General features: G+C 37.6%; 1 long non-coding RNA gene across 1 annotated transcript in view, besides 1 other annotated feature; it reads right to left on the reverse strand.

Annotated features, from left to right (window-relative positions):
• The window catches only part of UFL1-AS1 (UFL1 antisense RNA 1), a 321372-nt gene that overhangs the window by 263616 nt on the left and 39231 nt on the right, over positions 1-18525 (reverse strand). The window lies entirely within an intron of this gene.
• Positions 2263-2312: an enhancer, noted in NCBI's record as "active region_24841". NCBI's record gives its function as "activates an Ori minimal core promoter by ATAC-STARR-seq in GM12878 lymphoblastoid cells {active_cell/tissue: GM12878}" and the evidence as "EXISTENCE:reporter gene assay evidence [ECO:0000049][PMID:35858748]".

The raw sequence follows: 18525 nt of genomic DNA on the forward strand, positions 1-18525 counted from the left end.
TTAAAATTCCCTCTCCAATTACAACTGATAAGACAAACTTCTAATAAACACTGACTGTGAGCAAGATTCTGTTTAGTTTACCTAGTCGATTCAAGTCTTCTTCTTCTTCATAAATCACAACTTCTGCTTAACATATAGAATCATACCAGGACTTAGAAGAACGCTTTTATTTACTCCCTTGAACCCCCATGACAAAAGGCTTTGAAAATGGATTTTTGACACTTAACGTTGCCAGATGTTCCACCTTGCTTTCTTTATTCTATTTCTAGTAGTCAAGGAGACTACCCATAAAGCAGCTGGTACAGCACTTATTCACCTAACATTTCTGTTCCAGAAATGATCATGCACAGAATTTAGCCTCTGGCACACAGGTTTAGTTTAGGCCTGAAAGAAAAGAAATTTTTTTCTAAGACTATTGGAAAGAAAAAAGTCTAATTTCATACCATTTCTTCAAAGACTGAGTATTATTCATTAAAATACTCAACCATCTGGAAAAAATAATAATTGCAGTGCTGGAGGCCTTTTTTTAAAAATAACAAATCATTCCAAGTTTAAAGAAAGACAATGAATAGGATTCTCGCTTTCTTGTTAATTTATCCAGCAATATTAGAGTTTCAAGCACATTCGTTTCTATCAAGCATCTGACCTCCCCAAAGCCTGCTGCATTCCCAGACATATATCAAGAAATAGCTCAGATTTTTCAGCTTTCCTCATTTACAGTTTCAGGGCAAGATCTGCCATCGATTTTTGCATATGACTCTGATTGATTCCAGTGGGAGTCCTGCACACAATTGGGCAGTACAAAATGATCCCTAGCCTAGCAGTCTGTGCTCCTCCCATAGAGATATGTTATAGTTTCCAATTCTAAACATTTCTGTTTCCTAAATCCTCTCCTCAGATCTTCAGAATTTTCTCCCTATCTCCTTTAATATATGAAAGCATAAATTCTAAAACTTGGGTAAACCATTTTTATGTATAATCTTAACTTAATATTTCTTTAACACACAGTCATTATGGCCTCAGGTGTCTGGAAGTTTCAAACGCTATTATAAGCTCTGAATTTCCAAAGGAAAAATTATAAGTTATAATAATCTTAGGAATAATGCACAGCATATAGTGAGATTGTTAATGAGAGCAAGTAGTTGTATACTTCTACTCTGTTGCCAACAGAGATAAATATGATTTGTTCTTTTCACAGTTAGGAATTGTGTCATTTAGGAGCCCTTCTGCTTCAAGTAACAAAATATGTGAGTGAAAGTGGCTTAAACATTAATAACACTTTAGTGTCTCACTTACCAAGACTCCTTGGAGAAGAAGTTTCAGAGTTGGTTACTTTAGCTGTTCAGGAGGCTGAGGCAGAAGGATTGCTTGAGCCCAAGAGTTTGAGATCAGGCAGAGAAAAAAAGCAAAGTTTCATCTCAAAAGAAAAAAATAAGTCAGAGCTCTAGGTTGGCTTCCCTGCTACTTTGTTGGTTCCCCCTCGTGGTCACAAAATAGCTGCAGCACCTCCAAGCTCTTGCCACCATGTCACATCTCCCAAGGGGTGAAGGAGGAGTGTAGGCTTTCACTTCATTGTTTATTGCCTAGAGCTAGGGAGTGTGAGTTTAACTCCACCTTTCCTGCTCACATTTCAGTCATACACCTGAACAAAATCAGAATTCAGAGTTTCGTTTGCAATGAAGTGGGAGGAATTGTTTAGAGCCATGAGTCAATAGGGTCTACAGCTGAAATTCCTTGCCTGACAACAACAGAAGCCACATTTATTAGTTATTTTGCATGACTACTTTTGGGTTAGTCACATGTGTAAAGAAAGTTCTTGACAAACATACAGAATATGTGTGTGTGGGAGAATGGTGCCCAGGAACCCAAAATACTTTTTCTCCAATCAAGGACCCCATTTCAAATAAGCTACCCCATCGTCAGAGATGTCAAAGTGACTTGTGGAATACCTCAAGAATACCTAATTATCTTCACTTTATCATTAATCCTAACATGAGTAGATATTTATTTAATTATGTGTCCATTCACATGAATGCTAATGGTACAAATCTTGAAAAATATCTATGCTTTTATTTTCCTATATACTCTACTTAAGAACAAACTCTAAGACCTTGAGCTATAATGCAGGCAGGAATGAAAGCAAAGAATGAAAGGGAAAAAGGCTAGCACATAGAGTGCCAAACAAGGAAGGGAGTGTGCTATACCCAAAAATGATCAGAAGCCAGAGATCAAATAAAAATAATAGTTTCAATGTGGGGCTGGTATTAAAAACAGAAAAATACCCAAAAGCCAGAGGCCAAGACATGGCCACGGATGAAAGTAAGCACCTAAGAGCAAGCAAAAAATGCAGAATCTCTGTGTTAAGACAAGACAGAGTTAAGAGTGAGAAACCACAAATGAAAGATTAAAAAATGTGACAACCACGCAATAGAAAATCTACAGATGAGTCAACAGCCCTTCCAACAGGAAAGAAAATAGCTGCAAGAAACATGTGCACCAGCTTACCCAAATTGTGTAAATAAAACCATATCTGGCACAAGTGGGAACATTGAATTGTATGTTACACTTAAAATAAGTGAATTATATGGTATGTAAATTATACCTCAATAAAATTATCCCATTCCTCCCTCTCACAAACAAGTAATGCAGTTTCTTCATTGGTGCTCTCCCTCTGTCTTGGGTACCTGCCTTTGGATACAGCCATTATGTGAGAAAGCCCAGGACTGATGCTGAGGCTATGTATAGATGTTCCAACCAAAGCTTCTGCTAGACACCTAGCTGACAGGCAGCATCAACTGCCAGACACTTGGGTGAGCAAGCCTCTAGATGATTCCAGCCCCAGCTGAGGATTCAGTCATCATGGAGTAGAAGCAAGGCATCCCTGCATGCCCTGTCTGAATTCCTGACCCATAGAAGCCATGAGAGAAAATAAGTAATTATGGCTTTAAGCCACAAAGTTTTGGAGTAATTTGCTATACCAATAAATAGCTAATACTGACACTAATGAAATCACCATACAAATGATTGCAAAATGACAACTGTGACAAGTCATGAAAGGAAAAAGCATCTGGAACAGTGAGAGTATATAATTGGGAAATAAATTTATTTCCCACAATAAATCCACAAAAATTCACGGAGTCAGTAAAGGCTTATAGTTCCAATATACTGAATGAATGGGTACTAAGTACAGTCAACGAGTAATTGTAAAATGATTTTGTCGGAGAGATGGGAAGGTAGGCATGAGCATAGGTTTGTTAGACAAGCCTCCCAGGTTGGTGACTCTATCACAACCAGCTATGTGACCTTGGAAAGGTAACCTCTCTGAGCCTCAGTTCCTTCTCTGTAAGACAGATGTTTGGGAGGATTGAATGAGATGGTGCATGAGCTTAGTATACAGCTTGATTGAATATTAATTCAATGGTTGTTATTATTATTATGAAGTGCTTGGGTTTCCCCCAATGGCATGGCCCCAAACAATCTCTTCCAGAAAGGTTACTATTTAGCTATGGGTTTTAGAGACATGGAAATAATAAATTTTTTAAAGTCCATTTTATGAACAAATTGTTTAAGTGCAAACATATTCTTCTCACATTTCTAATTTCCGAGCTCCCTAATTAATTGCTCCTAGTCATTAGTAAAAAATAATCATAGAATCAAGTTGCAATTTCTGCTAAACAGTTAAAGTGTGAGGTTTTCATTTATTTGTTACATGTAATTTATGAAATTTGATAGTAAATATCATTTCAGATGATGCCTTCATTGTTAGGGATGCAGTTTTGCTATGTCTTTTTTTTGCAAAACTATTTATCAGCTGATAGCTTTTTCTATATGGTATTTGCTATTTTAGAGAACAGGTCAGGAGTCAAAAATAATCTAAAATACAGGAATGGAAGAAGTAAGTTTACTTTTTTTCTTTCATTAAAGTTATTGCATATTTGTGGTCTGAGAAGCTCATCAGTAAGCCAGCAGGGTAATAAGCAGTTTCCAACAAACATAGCCTGCTGCAGATAGCCAGAGAAGACACTATGAATCAGATTCATCTGATATTGGCATCTGTTGTAATTCACTGAATGACTTGAGAGGGGATCAAAAAGGAAGTCTAACCTCTAGTACAGAACAAGCATGCATTTGGAGCTCTGTATTTTCACTGTATCATTTTGCTGCTTCAAGAATGTTGGCAAAGAATTGTCATCTAAGGACATTTGTAAAGTAAAGAGCATCTTTCTAAGATTTAGGGTAAAGTCTTATCTGTACCTTACCTGTCTTTCTGTGCTTCGTGCCTTGCATGATTCCTAGATCATAAGAGGCACTCGATTAATGTGTGCTGAGCTGAATTGAAGTGTCAGGTCAGAAAGTAGACTCAAAGTCTTCAGAAGAATTCTTTGTAAAACCTTGAACATAAAGATGTTTCTCTCCTAAGCCCAAGAAAGCCACACTATAGCTGCTGCTGTACTTTGCTCTCTCAATCTAGGCCTTTTCCCTGGCTTGGACTCTACAGTATAGCACGGTAGATAAGAAAAAAATCTGTGGAGTAAGCCTGGCTGAGTTTAAATCCCAGTGCTGCCACTTGCCAGCTGTGTTACCTTGGGCAGTCTCTGAGCCTCAGTATTTCATTTGCAAAATGAAGAATAGCAGTGGCTACTTGTTAAGATTATCGTGAAGAATAAATCCGTAAGTTCATGTAAAGTCAGTAGACTGTAGCTGGCATATAATAAGCAGTCAATAAATGTTTCTTGTAATGACAGGCAGCCAATCTTGTATTGTTCTGGGCATGCAGCCCAGGGCCATGTCCCTGTTTAGGAAGCCACACAGACCACTGCAGCAGAGAATTCTCTTTGAACTCACACACTCTGAGAAAAATGACTGGAGGAGGTTTTCTTTCCCCCAGCACTCTAGAGAGTATGGTGTATGGAGACTCACACTGTCAATCCTTGGAAACCCCAGCTGTGAACAAAAACACAAACTTCTTTTATTTGTGGGCAGTCAGTTGGTTTCCTGTCAATTTCATTTTAATTAATGACAAATGTGTCCTGAAAATTCAACCAGTCCTTGATTTTTCTCAGCAAATTAGGCATTCTTGCCACACTTCCCCAAAACATCACTAGCCACATTCAGAAACACCTCGTTTTTGGTATACTTTAAAATACGTATTTTAAAGACTTGAAATGCTGCCACCTAGAGACTACAAATTCATAAAGATAACTACAACAGTGATCATGAAAGACCACTAAAATAGAACTTGGATAGGCATTCTAAATGTCACTGTAAAATTTTGTAATATAAATGGATTATGTACCTATTTTGTATAAAACAAATACTATCAAGCAAAAAAAGTAAAAATAATTCAGAGCAGAAATAAATAATTCTCATTATAATTAATATTTCTAAACGAAATGTCCATCACAGGCAATATACTATTGTTGTTTTAATGTGGAATCATCCCTCCCTCAGAGCAGAATGGAAATTTATGGTGTTGAGAACATCTTATCTTCTGGCTCACAGTCCACACCCAGGTGGTGAGGTTCCACCTGCTGAACCCTGATAAACCATACACATCTTCAAGAGAACAGAGACCAGATGGTGCATGCAAAACCTAGAGCCTAATCTACAGGCTTTCTGTGTCTCTATACTATATGAATCTCTTCCTGTCCGTACACCTTTGGGTAAACCATATTTTTATGTCCAGGGATTAAAACTACATGGTGAAGGATGAGGCATAAATAGCTAGTTATTTGGCTACTATTTGAAATTTTATAAAAATTGGAAGAAGAATTGAAGACAATTGTTATTTCCATTACACAAGAAAGAATATTTTGCTAACACTATCCATTATTCACAAGGAAGAAAAATCCAACCATGAATATATTGAAGTTTTCTACACTTTCCATTACTATATGACCACTGCATCCTTTCCAGACTTCAAATCTCTCTTGCTGAATTGCAGCCTTTGAAAATCGTTACTACCTTTGATTCTTTTTAAGCAATTTTTGTTTTTGAATGTTTACACCCACCAGCCTGTCTCTTTAGTCTGGTCTAATTTTCATTCAGCTACTGACAAAAGGGCAAAGTCGTTTCACAGCCACCTACAATTGTCCAGTCTGTAATGGAATGGAATAAGATAATCATGAAGATATTAGAGATAATTTAGCTCATTTGATAGAAAATGTTACATTTAGGAAAAAAATATATTAAAAATTCTACCCCTGGTGGCTACAGTCCAACAAATACTTGGAAACCTGCAAGTCTGTGGAGAATAAGTCACCTTGCCTTTCATTACACAGTGGACCAAGTAGCAACCCAGTTTCCCAATTATCTTCAAGAAGTGTCAACAATAGAAGATCTGATATTCTGTTTTTAAAAAGAAAAGTGTCATGATCACTATAATCCATTTATTTAGTGGATGGACTCTCATACAGTACATAATGGGCTTGAGATATAAACTTGGATCTCAATGTTGAAAGCCGGGTAGGATTTGATTAAATCTATCTAAATGCAACCATAATACAATTGTAGATTTCAATTAGGAAGAAACATGACCACACCAAAAAGATAATATTGCATTACATTTGTTCTGGAAGGCTGGATCAAGGATAAGAAAACTGGAAGTAATGAAAAGTTCCCTTTAATTTTTTTTTCTCTGTATCTTATCATGGTTTTGCTCTGCTACTGTCAAATTCGAGAGTAGTTGATTCTTTTAAGGAGAATATAAATCAGATTCTCATTTTTTCTGCAAACTCCATACTGAATTGAATTTTTAAAATTATTTTATAATGCCTTTTGTTAGTAATTCTTTTGAATGCTTTTTATTGATATTCTACTTCAAATGGGTAAAGAAAATGTGTGAGTAAAGGATTCATAAACCATGTGAAACTGAAATAAAGGGAAAAATAAGAAAGCACAGCAAATAATTTCTGAGATAGAAACCCGGTCTCCCCTCAACACACACACATACACATATACATACACATACACATACACATACACATACATACACATACACACACACATACACATACACATACACATACATACACATACACACACACACACACACACACGTGAAAACAAGAAGAAATAGAGTCATGTCAAAGTAAAACATCTCTGAACCATTGAAAGAGACAAATGTCAGCATGCAAATAATTTCATATACCTACATCATATGTTGAAGTCAGAAGATTCCATTTCACGGAAATTAAAATTTGCCTCGTGTGAAACCTCCAAACAGAGAGAGGACAGAGGATAGAATAGAACCTATTCTATCCACTCCACGCTCCTTAAAGTTGAGTCCAAAGTAATGATTCTAGAATTTATCTGTGGTGAGAATCCTCTGGTCAAGGATTTGTTCAGATTCTAACAAGTGGGAGACTTTTTGTAAAGGAATTTTCCCTCATTGGTTTTAGTGCTTCCTCTAAAGTTATGATCTATATAAGAGCAGGAAAATAATACAAGAGCTATGCCTTAAAAAATGCTGAATTTTGTTCTGTATACAGAATTACTTTGTAGCATTCAATGACTCATTCATTTAACAGTCAGTAATTTAACCGTAAATAACATACCTAAATTGTACTGGGTTTGCAATATTAGATAATCTCTTTATTCATCAAAATCATAATAGTTATAATAGGTAAGAACATGTGTGATACAAAACAATACATAAATGCTAAAAGTGAAAGAAATCAGAATTCAATGGATTCCTAGTATTTTCATTCATAATAGTACAATAAACGGTACCCCATCTAAGTATGACCAGTTTTTCCCCTGAAATGATCTAAAATGTAGCATCATTTTGTCATCAAATTGCAAAGTCCAGTTTCATACTGCATCTAGGAACACCTTTGATACATACGGCTTTCTCAATATACCAAGATGACATAAGCCAGGCAGAATAGAATTAATAGGAAATTTTGTTGACTATCGTGCCCACTAACATCATAGGAGCAGATTATACACAATCAAAAAAAAGCTCAAAGGAATAAAGTTTTCTCTAAAGTTTTTTTCATATTAAAATATCTCCTCCAATTCCTTTTCAATTCAGGCCTCAAACCAATCCCCAGCATTTTATTAAAAAAAAATAAGCTGTTATCAAGAAATCTAGAAGAAAGGTGCTTTTGATACTTGTTTTTTGTTTGTTTTATTATACTTTAAGTTCTGGGATACATGTGCAGAACATGCAGGTTTGTTATATATGTATACACATGCCATGGTGGTTTGCTGCACCCATCAACTCATCATCTACATTAGGTATTTCTCCTAATGCTATCCCTCCCCAATCCCCCTTCCCCTGGATAGGCCCCCTAGTATGATGTTCCCCTCCCTGTGTCCATGTGTTCTCATTGTTCAACTCCCACTCATGAGTGAGAACATGTGGTGTTTGGTTTTCTGTTCCTGTGTTAGTTTGCTGAGAATGATGGTTTCCAGCTTCATCCATGTCCCTGCAAAGGACATGAACTCAACCTTTTTTAAGGCTGCTTAGTATTCTATGGTGTGTATGTGCCACATTTTCTTTATCCAGTCTATCAATGATGGGCATTTGGCTTGGTGCCAAGTCGTTGCTATTGTAAACAGTGCTGCAATAAACATATGTGTGTATGTGTCTTTATAGTAGAATGATTTATAATCCTTTGGGTATATACCCAGGAATGGGATTGCTGGGTCAAATGGTATTTCTGGATCTAGATCCTTGAGGAATCGCCACACTGTCTTCAACAATGGTTGAACTAATTTACACTCCCACCAACAGTGTAAAAGTGGTCCTATTTCTCCACATCCTCTCCAGCACCTGTTGTTTCCTGACTTTTTAATGATCGCCATTCTAACTGGCGTGAGATGGTATCTCATTGTGGTTTTGGTTTGCATTTCTTTAATGACCAGTGATGATGAGCATTTTTTCATATATTTGTTGGCTGCATAAATGTCTTCTTTGGAGAAGTGTCTATTAATGTCCTTTGCTCATTTTTTGATGGGGTTGTTTTTTTTTTCTTGTAAATTTATTTAAGTTTCTTGTAGATTCTGGATATTAGCCCTTTGTCAGATGGATAGATTGCAAAAATTTTCTCCCATTTTATAGGTTGCCTGTTGACTCTGATGATAGTTTCTTTTGCTGTGCAGAAGCTCTTTAGTTTAATTAGATCCCATTTGTCAATTTTGGCTTTTGTTGCCGTTGCTTTTGGTGTTTTAGTCATGAAGTCTTTGCCCATGCCTATGTCTTCAGTGGTATTGCCTAGGTTTTCTTCTAGGGTTTTTATGGTTTTAAGTCTTACCTTTAAGTCTTTAATCCATCTTGAGTTAATTTTTGTAGAAGATGTAAGGAGCAGGTCTAGTTTCAGTTTTGTGCATATGGCTAGCCAGTTTTCCCAACACCATTTATTAAATAGGTAATCCTTTCCCTATTGCTTATTTTTGTCAGGCTTGTCAAAGATCAGATGGTTGTAGATGTGTGGTGTTATTTCTGAGGCCTCTGTTCTGTTCCATTGGTCTATATATCTGTTTGGGTACCAGTACCATGCTATTTTGGTTACTGTAGCCTTGTAGTATAGCTCAAAGTCAGGTAGCATGATGCCTCCATTTTTGTTCTTTTTGCTTAGGATTGTCTTGGCTGTATAGGCTTTTTTTGGTTCCATAAGAAACTTAATTTTTTTCTAATTCTGCAAAGAAAGTCAGTGGTAGCTTGATGGGGATAGCATTGAATCTATAAATAACTTTGGGCAGTATGGCCATTTTCGTGATATTGATACTTCCTATCCATGACCATGAAATGCTTTTCCATTTGTTTGTATCCTCTCTTATTTCCTTGAGCAGTGGTTTGTAGTTCTCATTGAAGAGGTCCTTCACATCACTTGTAAGTTGTATTCCTAGGTATTTTATTCTCTTTCTAGCAATCGTGAATGGGAGTTCACTCATGGTTTGGTTCTCTGTTTGTCTATTATTGGTGCATAGGAATGCTTGCGATTTTCAAACATTGATTTTATATCCTGAGACTTTGCTGAAGTTGCTTATCGGCTTAAGAAGACTTTGGGCTGAGACGATGGGGTTTTCTAAATATACAATCATGTTATCTGTGAACAGAGACAATTTGACTTCTTTTCTTCCTATTTGGATACACTGTATTTCTTTCTCTTGCCTAATTGCCCTGGGCAGAACTTCCAATACTATGTTGAATAGGAGTGGTGAGAGAGGGCATCCTTGTCTTGTGCCAGTTTTCAAAAGGAATGCTTCCAGTTTTTGCCCATTCAGTATGATATTGGCTGTGGGTTTGTCATAAATAGCTCTTATTATTTTGAGATACATTCCATCAACACCTAGTTTATTGAGAGTTTTTAGCATGAAGGGGTGTTGAATTTTGTTAAAGGCCTTTTCTGCATCTATTGAGATAATCATGTGGTTTTGTCATTGGTTCTGCTTATGTGATGGATTATGTTTATTGATTTGTGTATGTTGAAACAGCTTTGCATTCCAGGGATGAAGCTGACTTGATTGTGGTGGATAAGTTTTTTGAGGTGCTGCTGGATTCAGTTTGCCAGTATTTTATTGAGGATTTTCGCATCGATGTTTATCAAGGATATTGGCCTGAAATTTTCTTTTTTTGGTGTGTCTCTGCCAGGTTTTGTTATCAGAATGATGCTGGCTTCATAAAATGAGTTAGGGATGAGTCCCTCTTTTTGTATTGTTTGGAATAGTTTCAGAAGCAATGGCACCAGCTCCTCTTTGTACCTCTGGTAGAATTCAGCTGTGAATCTGTCTGGTCCTGGGTGTGTGTGTGTGTGTGTTTGGTTAGTAGGCTATTAATTACTGCCTCAATTTAAGAAATTGTTATTGGTCTATTCAGGGATTCAACTTCTTCCTGGTTTAGTCTTGGGAGGGCGTATGTGTCTAGGAATTTATCTATTTCTTCTAGATTTTCTAGTTTATTTGCCTAGAGGTGTTTATAGTATTCTCTGATGGTAGTTTATATTTCTGTGGGATCAGTGGTGATATCCCCTTTATCATTTTTTCTTGTGTCTATTTGATTCTTCTCTTTTCTTCTTTATTAGTCTGGCTAGTGGTCTATGTTGTTAATCTTCTTAAAAAACCAGCTCCTGGATTCACTGATTTTTTGAAGGGTTTTTCATGTCTCTATCTCCTTCAGCTCTGCTCTGATCTTAATTATTTCTTGTCTTCTGCTAGCTTTTGAACTTGTTTGCTCTTGCTTCTCTAGTTCTTTTAATTGTGATATTAGGGTGTCGATTTTAGATCATTCCCACTTTCTCCTGCAGGCATTTAGTGCTGTAAATTTTCCTCTAAACACTGCTTTAGCTGTGTCCCAGAGATTCTGGTACGTTGTGTCTTTGTTCTCATTGGTTTCAAAGAACATCTTTATTTCTGCCTTCATTTTGTTATGTACCCAGTAGTCATTCAGGAGCAGGTTGTTCAGTTTCCCTGTAGTTGTGTGATTTTGAGTGAGTTTTTTAATCCTGAGTGCTAATTTGATTGCACTGTGGTCTAAGAGACTTTGCTTTGATTTGTTTTTTTTTTTTTTTTTTTTTTTTTTTTTTTTTGCATTTGCTGAGGAGTGTTTTACTTCCAATTATGAGGTCAATTTTAGAATAAGTGCAATGTAATGCTGAGAAGAATGTATATTCTGTTGATTTGGGGTGGAGGGTTCTGTAGATGTCTATTAGGTCTGCTTGGTCTAGAGCTGAGTTTAAGTCCTGAATATCTTTTTAAATTTTCTGTCCCATTGATCTGTCTAATATTGACAATGGGGTGTTAAACTCTCCCACTATTATTGTGTGGGAGTCTAAGTTTCTTTGAAGGTCTTTAAGAACTTGCTTTATGAATCTGGATGCTCCTCTATGGGGTGCATATATATTTAAGATAGCTAGCTCTTCTTGTGGTGTTGATCTCTTTACCATTATGTAATGCCCTTCTTTGTCTTTTTTGGTATTTGTTTTTTTGAAGTCTGTTTTACCAGAGACTAGGATTGCAACCCCTGCTTCTTTTTGCTTTCCATTTGCTTGGGAAATATTACTCCATCCCTTTATTTTGAGCTTATGTGTGTCTTTGCATGTGAGATGGGTCTCCTAAATACAGCACACAGATGGGTCTTGACTCTGTATCCAATTTGCCAGTCTGTGTTTTTTAATTGGGGCATTTAGCCCATTTACATTTAAGGTTAATATAGTTGCATAGGAATTTGATCCTGTCATTACGATGCTAGCTGGTTATTTTGCCCATTAGTTGATAACAGTTTCTTCATAGTGTCAATGGTCTTTACAATTTTGTATGTTTTTGCAGCGGCTGGTACCCATTGTTCCTTTCCATATTTAGTGCTTCCTTCAGGAGCTCATGTAAGGCAGGCCTAGTGTTGACAAAATCTCTCAGCATTTACGTGTCTGTAAGGATTTTATTTCTCTTTCACTTATGAAGCTTAGTTTGGCTAGATATGAAATTCTGGGTTGAAAATTCTCTTCATTAAGAATGTTGAACATTGGCCCCCACTCTTCTTCTGGCTTGTAGGGTTTCTGCAGAGAGATCCACTGTTAGTTTGATGGGCTTCCATTTGTGGGTAACCTGACCTTTCTCTCTGGTTGCCCTTAACATTTTTTCCTTGATTTCAATCTTGGTGAATCTGAAGATTATGTGCCTTGGGGTTGCTCTTCTCGAGGAGTATCTTTGTGGTGTTCTCTGTATTTCCTGAATTTGAACGTTGGCCTGCCTTGCTAGGTTGGGGAAGTTCTCCTGGATAATATCCTGAAGAGTATTCTCCAACTTAGTTCCATTCTCCCCATCACTTTCAGGTACACCTATCAAATGTAGATTTGGTCTTTTCACATAGTCCCATATTTCTTGGAGGCTTTGTTCATTCCTTTTCATTCTTTTTTCTCTAATCTTGGCTTCATGCTTTATATCATTAAGTTGATCTTCAATATCTCATATCCTTTCTTCCACTTGATCAATTCAGCTATTGATACTTGTGTATGCTTCACGAAGTTCTCGTGCTGTTTTTCAGCTCCATCAAGTCATTTATATTCTTCTGTAAACTGGTTATTCTAGCTAGCAATTTGTCTAACCTTTTTTCAAGGTTCTAGCTTTGTTGCATTGGGCTAGAACATCCTCCTTTAACTCAGAGGAGTTTGTTATTACTCATCTTCTGAAGCCTACTTCTGTCAATTTGTTAAACTCATTCTCTGTCCAGTTTTGTTCCCTTGATGGCAAGGAGTTGTGATCCTTTGGAGGAGAAGAGGCATTCTGGTTTTTGGAATTTTCAGCCTTTTTGTGCTGGTTTTTCCTCACCTTTGGATTTATCTACATTTAGTCTTTGATGTCGGTGACCTTCGGATGGGATTTTGGTGTGTATGTTCTTTTTTTTTTTTTGGCATTCAATCTTCTTTATTATGAAAACAACTATTTTGCTTATGTATCTATTCTGTGCTGCATTAGAAAGTTAGAATGTATACATATATTTTTCCCCACACTTCCTAAGAATGTTTGAAGCTTAAGCTTTTCTTTTTTTGATTTTTTATTTTATTTTTATTATTATACTTTAAGTTCTAGAGTACATGTGCACAACGTGCAGGTTCGTTACATATATATACATGTGCCATGTTGGTGTGCTGCACCCATTAACTTGTCATTTATATTAGGTATATCTCCTAATGCTATCCCTCCCTCTCTTCCCCCACCCCACTGCAGGCCCAGTGTGTGATGTTCCCCTTCCTGTGTCCATGTGTTGTCATTTTTCAATTCCCACCTATGAGTGAGAGAACCTGTGGTGTTTGGTTTTTTGTCCTTGCGATAGTTTGCTGAGAATGATGGTTTCCAGCTTCATCCATGTCCCTACAAAGTACAAGAACTCATCCTTTTTTATGGCTGCATAGTATTCCATGGTGTATATGTGCAACATTTTCTTAATCCAGTCTATCATTGATGGACATTTGGGTTGGTTCCAAGTCTTTGCTATTGTGAATAGTGCCGCAATAAACGTACATGTGCATGTGTCTTTATAGTAGCATGATTTATAATCCTTTGGGTATATACCCAGTAATGGGATGGTTGGGTCAAATGGCATTTCTATGTTCTAGATCCTTGAGGAATCACCACACTGTCTTCTACAATGGTTGAACTAGTTTACAGTCCAACCAACAGTGTAAAAGTGTTCCTATTTCTCCACATCCTCTCCAGCACCTGTTGTTTCCTGACTTTTTAGTTATCGCCATTCTACCCTGTTATGCAGGTCTGCTGGAGTTTGCTGGAGGTCCACTTCGGACCCTGTTTCCCTGGATATCACCGGCAGAGGCTGCAGAACAGCAAAGATTGCTGCCTGTTCCTTTCTCTGGAAGCTTCATCCCAGAGGGGCACCTGCCAGATGCCAGCTGGAGCTCTCCTGTGTGAAGTGTCTGTCGACTCTTGCTGAGAGGTGTCTCCCAGTCAGGAGTCACAGGAGTTAGGGACTCACTTGAGGAGACACCCCGTCCCTTAGCAGAGCTGGAGCACTGTGCTGGGAGATCCACTGCTCTCTTCAGGGCCGGCAGGCAGGACCGTTTAAGTTGGCTGAAGCTGTGCCCACAGCCACCCCTTCCCCCAGGTGCTCTGTCCCAGGGAGATGGGAGTTTTATCTATAAGCCCCTGACTGGGGCTGCTGCCTTTCTTTCAGAGATGCCCTTCCCAGAGAGGAGGAATCTAGAAAGGAAGTCTGGCCACAGTGGCTTTGCCAAGCTGTGGTAGGCTCCGCCCAGTTTTAACTTCCCAGCAGCATTTTGAGGGGAAAATCACCTATTCAAGCCTCAGTAATGGTGGATGCTCCTCCCCTCACCAAGCTTGAGTGTCCCAGGTTGACTTCAGACTGTTGTGCTGGCAGCAAGAATTTCAAGCCAGTGGATCTTAGCTTGCTGGGCTCTGTGGGGGTGGGATCCGCTGAGCTAGACCACTTGGTTCTCTGGCTTCAGCCCCCTTTCCAGGGGAGCGGGCGGTTCTGTCTCACTGGTATTCCAGGCACTACTGGGGTATGGAAAAAACTTTTGCAGCTAGTTCAGTGTCTGCCCAAACGACTGCCCAGTTCTGTGCTTGAAACCCAGGGCTCTGGTGGTGTAGGCACCTCAAGGAATCTCCTGGTCTGCGGGTTGCAAAGACCATGGGAAAGGCATAGTATCTGGGCTGGAATGCATTATTCCTCACAGCACAGTCTCTCAAGGCTTCCCTTGGCTAGAGGAGAGAGTTCCCTGACCCCTTACACTTCCCAGGTGAGGCGACACCCCACCTTGCTTCAGTTCACCCTCCGTGGGCTGCACCCACTGCCTAACCAGTCCCAATGAGATGAACCAGGTACCTCAGTTGGAAATGCAAATACCACCCACCTTCTTAGTTGATCTTGCTGGGAGCTGCAGACTGAAGCTGTTCCTATTTGGCCATCTTGCCAGCCTCAATATTTGTTTTTAAGAGTTTCATCTGATGTGCTTATCTGGCTGTGTACCATATTGCCAATTAGCACTATAAAGTTTCTAGTCATGCAGGTGCTCTAGATATTTTGGTGCCTGAGTTACATAAATCTTTCACACAAAAAAAGATAAAGATGTACCTCCACTTTATTATAAAGAAAGTTGAAATAAGCCCATAGCCAGAGTGAAACGTAGAGTTAAATGCCTCTACAGAGGCATTATTAATTTTTATTAATAAAAAATAGGTTTTTATAGAATGTTTCCATTTCTTATGAACAAAGAAGAGCTAATAAATTCAAGTCAATGACAGACTTTTAAATTCTGTGTGCTTTCTCCTGGGTACCCAGTACGGTTCATCCAGATTGACTACTAGGCTGTTAGAAGATATAACTGTATGATTACTAAAATATCATAACTAGGGCCACATAAATTTTTTAGGTAAAAATTCACGGATACTCGACAACATTTAACATTCTCACTAAATATTACAATTAATGTAATTACTTAATAATACAATTAATAATATTAGCATTACCTTATCTGCTTTATAAAAGTAAACTATAGTAAATGTACTTATTCTTTTATTCTCATATAGCTCTGCTTTATTCAAATCCTTCTCTGGACATACTAAAGGCAACATAAAAGGAATCTTCTCCTTTCCAAACCAGGCAGTACTTTATAGCCAGATTAATTTTCATAAAATACTTACACCATGTTACTTTTCCCCTTAACCACACCCAGTGATTTCCTAGTAATACTCAAAACAACCTAACCTGCATTTATTGCCTCTCATAAGCCTTGCCCATCCTGCCTTTCCTGTCTTAGGCCCTGGTGCATGCCCACTCAAATCCTCTGCCACATTGGTGTTGTCTGCCCTTTGTTTTTGAGCACAATGTAGAGATTTGCTATCACACAGCACTGTTGCCCAATTTTCTTCACTTTGAGTGTACTCTCATTTTTTCTCTTTCAGCCCAAACCCTAACCATAATTCCAGGTTCAATGTAAGTGTTATGTTCTCTTTGAAGTTTTCCCTAATCGCCCCATCTCACAGTTGTCTATGGTTTCTAGAGTCTCATATTGCACTTATTTTCTTTGTTAACAAATTAATATTTATCATATTCCTTGTATTTTAATTAACTACTTGAATATTTATATATTTTCCTTCTTACTTATATTTAATAAGGATAGAGACACTTTGTAAATATTGTTTTGCCTTTCATGGCCCTCACCCTGGGTACTGCACATAGCAGGTGCTCAACTAATTCCGAATTTATTCACAAGAACTCAAAGAGCAACACAAATGATTCACGCTACATATGAAATACTTCTTTTCAGAGAAGTCTCCTAAGCATTGGTCCAAGTGGCCAAGAGGAATCTTATCCCCTGGATGTCATTAAAAATAGATAAATACTATTTTGTGCTGGATGGTATCACAGAAAGTAATAACACAGGAAAGAAATGACCATGAGAGTGTTGGCCTCACCCAATTCTAGTTTTTCATTATTCTTTAGATATTTCAATACCTTCCAGACTGTAAACATACCAAAAAAAAAAAAGGAGGGAGAAAAAAATTTATGATCTGGATGAATGCTTAAGTCTCCACTAAATGTGGAAATGACGTAAACCATTTACAATACTGAGTTCTAGTTGTGATGCTAAGTTAGGCCTGATATATCTATGAACGTTCTAACATAAACAAGGCAGGCATACCTCAAATATATTGCAGGCTTGGTTTCAGATCACCACAATAAAGACAATATCACAGTAGAGAGATCATACCGACTTTTTTGTTTTTCCAGTGCATATGAAATTTATATGTACCTTATACTGTAGTCTATTAAATGTGCAATAGCATTCCAACAAAAATACAATGTAGATACCTTAATTTAAAAATACTTTCTTGCTAAAAATTGCTAATGATCACCTTAGCCTGCAGCGAGTCATAATCTTTTAGCTGGTGGAGGGTCTTGCTTCAATGCTGATGGTTGCTCACTGATCAGGGTGATAGTTGCTGAAGGTTGGGGTGGCTGTGGCAATTTCTGAAAATAAGCCAACAATAAAGTTTGCTTTATCAATTAACTCTTCCTTTAATGAAAGATTCCTCTGTAGCAAGTGATAGTGCTTGATAGCATTTGACCCGCAATAGAAATTCTTTCAATATTGGAGTAAATCCTCTCAAACCCTGCCACTGCTTTATCAATGAAGTTTATCGAATATTCTTAATTGTTTGTTATCACTTCAACAATGTTTATAGCATCTTCACCAGGAGTAGATTCCATCTCAAGAAACCACTTTCTTTGCTCATCCATAGAAAGCAACTCATCATCCATTAAAGTTTATCATGAAATTGTAGCAATTCAGTCATATCTTCAGGCTTCTCTTCTAATTTTGGTTCTCTTGCTATTTCCACATCTGCAGTTACTTTGTCTGCTGAAATCTTGAACCCCACAAAGTCATCCATAAAGGTTGGAATCAACTTCTTCCAAACTCCTGTCAATGTTAATATTTTGACCTCCTCCCATGAATCACAAATGGCATCTAGAATGGTAAATTATTTTCAGAAGGTTTTCAACTTACTTTGCCCAAATTCATCAGAGGAATCACTAGCTATGGCAGCTATAGCCTTACAAAATATCTTTCTTAAGTAATGAGATTTGAAAGTCAAGCATGGTGGTGCATGCCTACAATACCAGCTACACAGAAGGCCGAAGTGGAAGAATCATTTAAGGCCAGGAGTTCGACTCCAGCCTGGGAACCATAACAAGATTTCATTTCTTTAAAAATAAACAAAATTACTTCTTGTCCCATTGGTTACACAGTAACACAATAACGTTGGCACAAAAACAATATTAATCTTCTACAATTTTATCAGAACTCTTGGGTGACCATATGCATTGTCAATGAGCAGAAATATTTTGAAAGAAGTTTTTCTAGGCAGTATGTCTCAACAGTGGACATAAAATATTTAGATGTTCAGTAAGCCATGCTGTAAGCAGATGTGCTGTCATACAGGCTTTGCTTTTTCATTTATAGGGAACAGTCAGAGCAGATTTAACATAATTTTTAAGGGCACTAGGATTATTTTTCTTTTTTTTCACTCAAACATTCTGAG

This window comes from Homo sapiens, chromosome 6, assembly GCF_000001405.40.
Source record: "Homo sapiens chromosome 6, GRCh38.p14 Primary Assembly".
Lineage (NCBI taxonomy): Eukaryota > Metazoa > Chordata > Mammalia > Primates > Hominidae > Homo > Homo sapiens.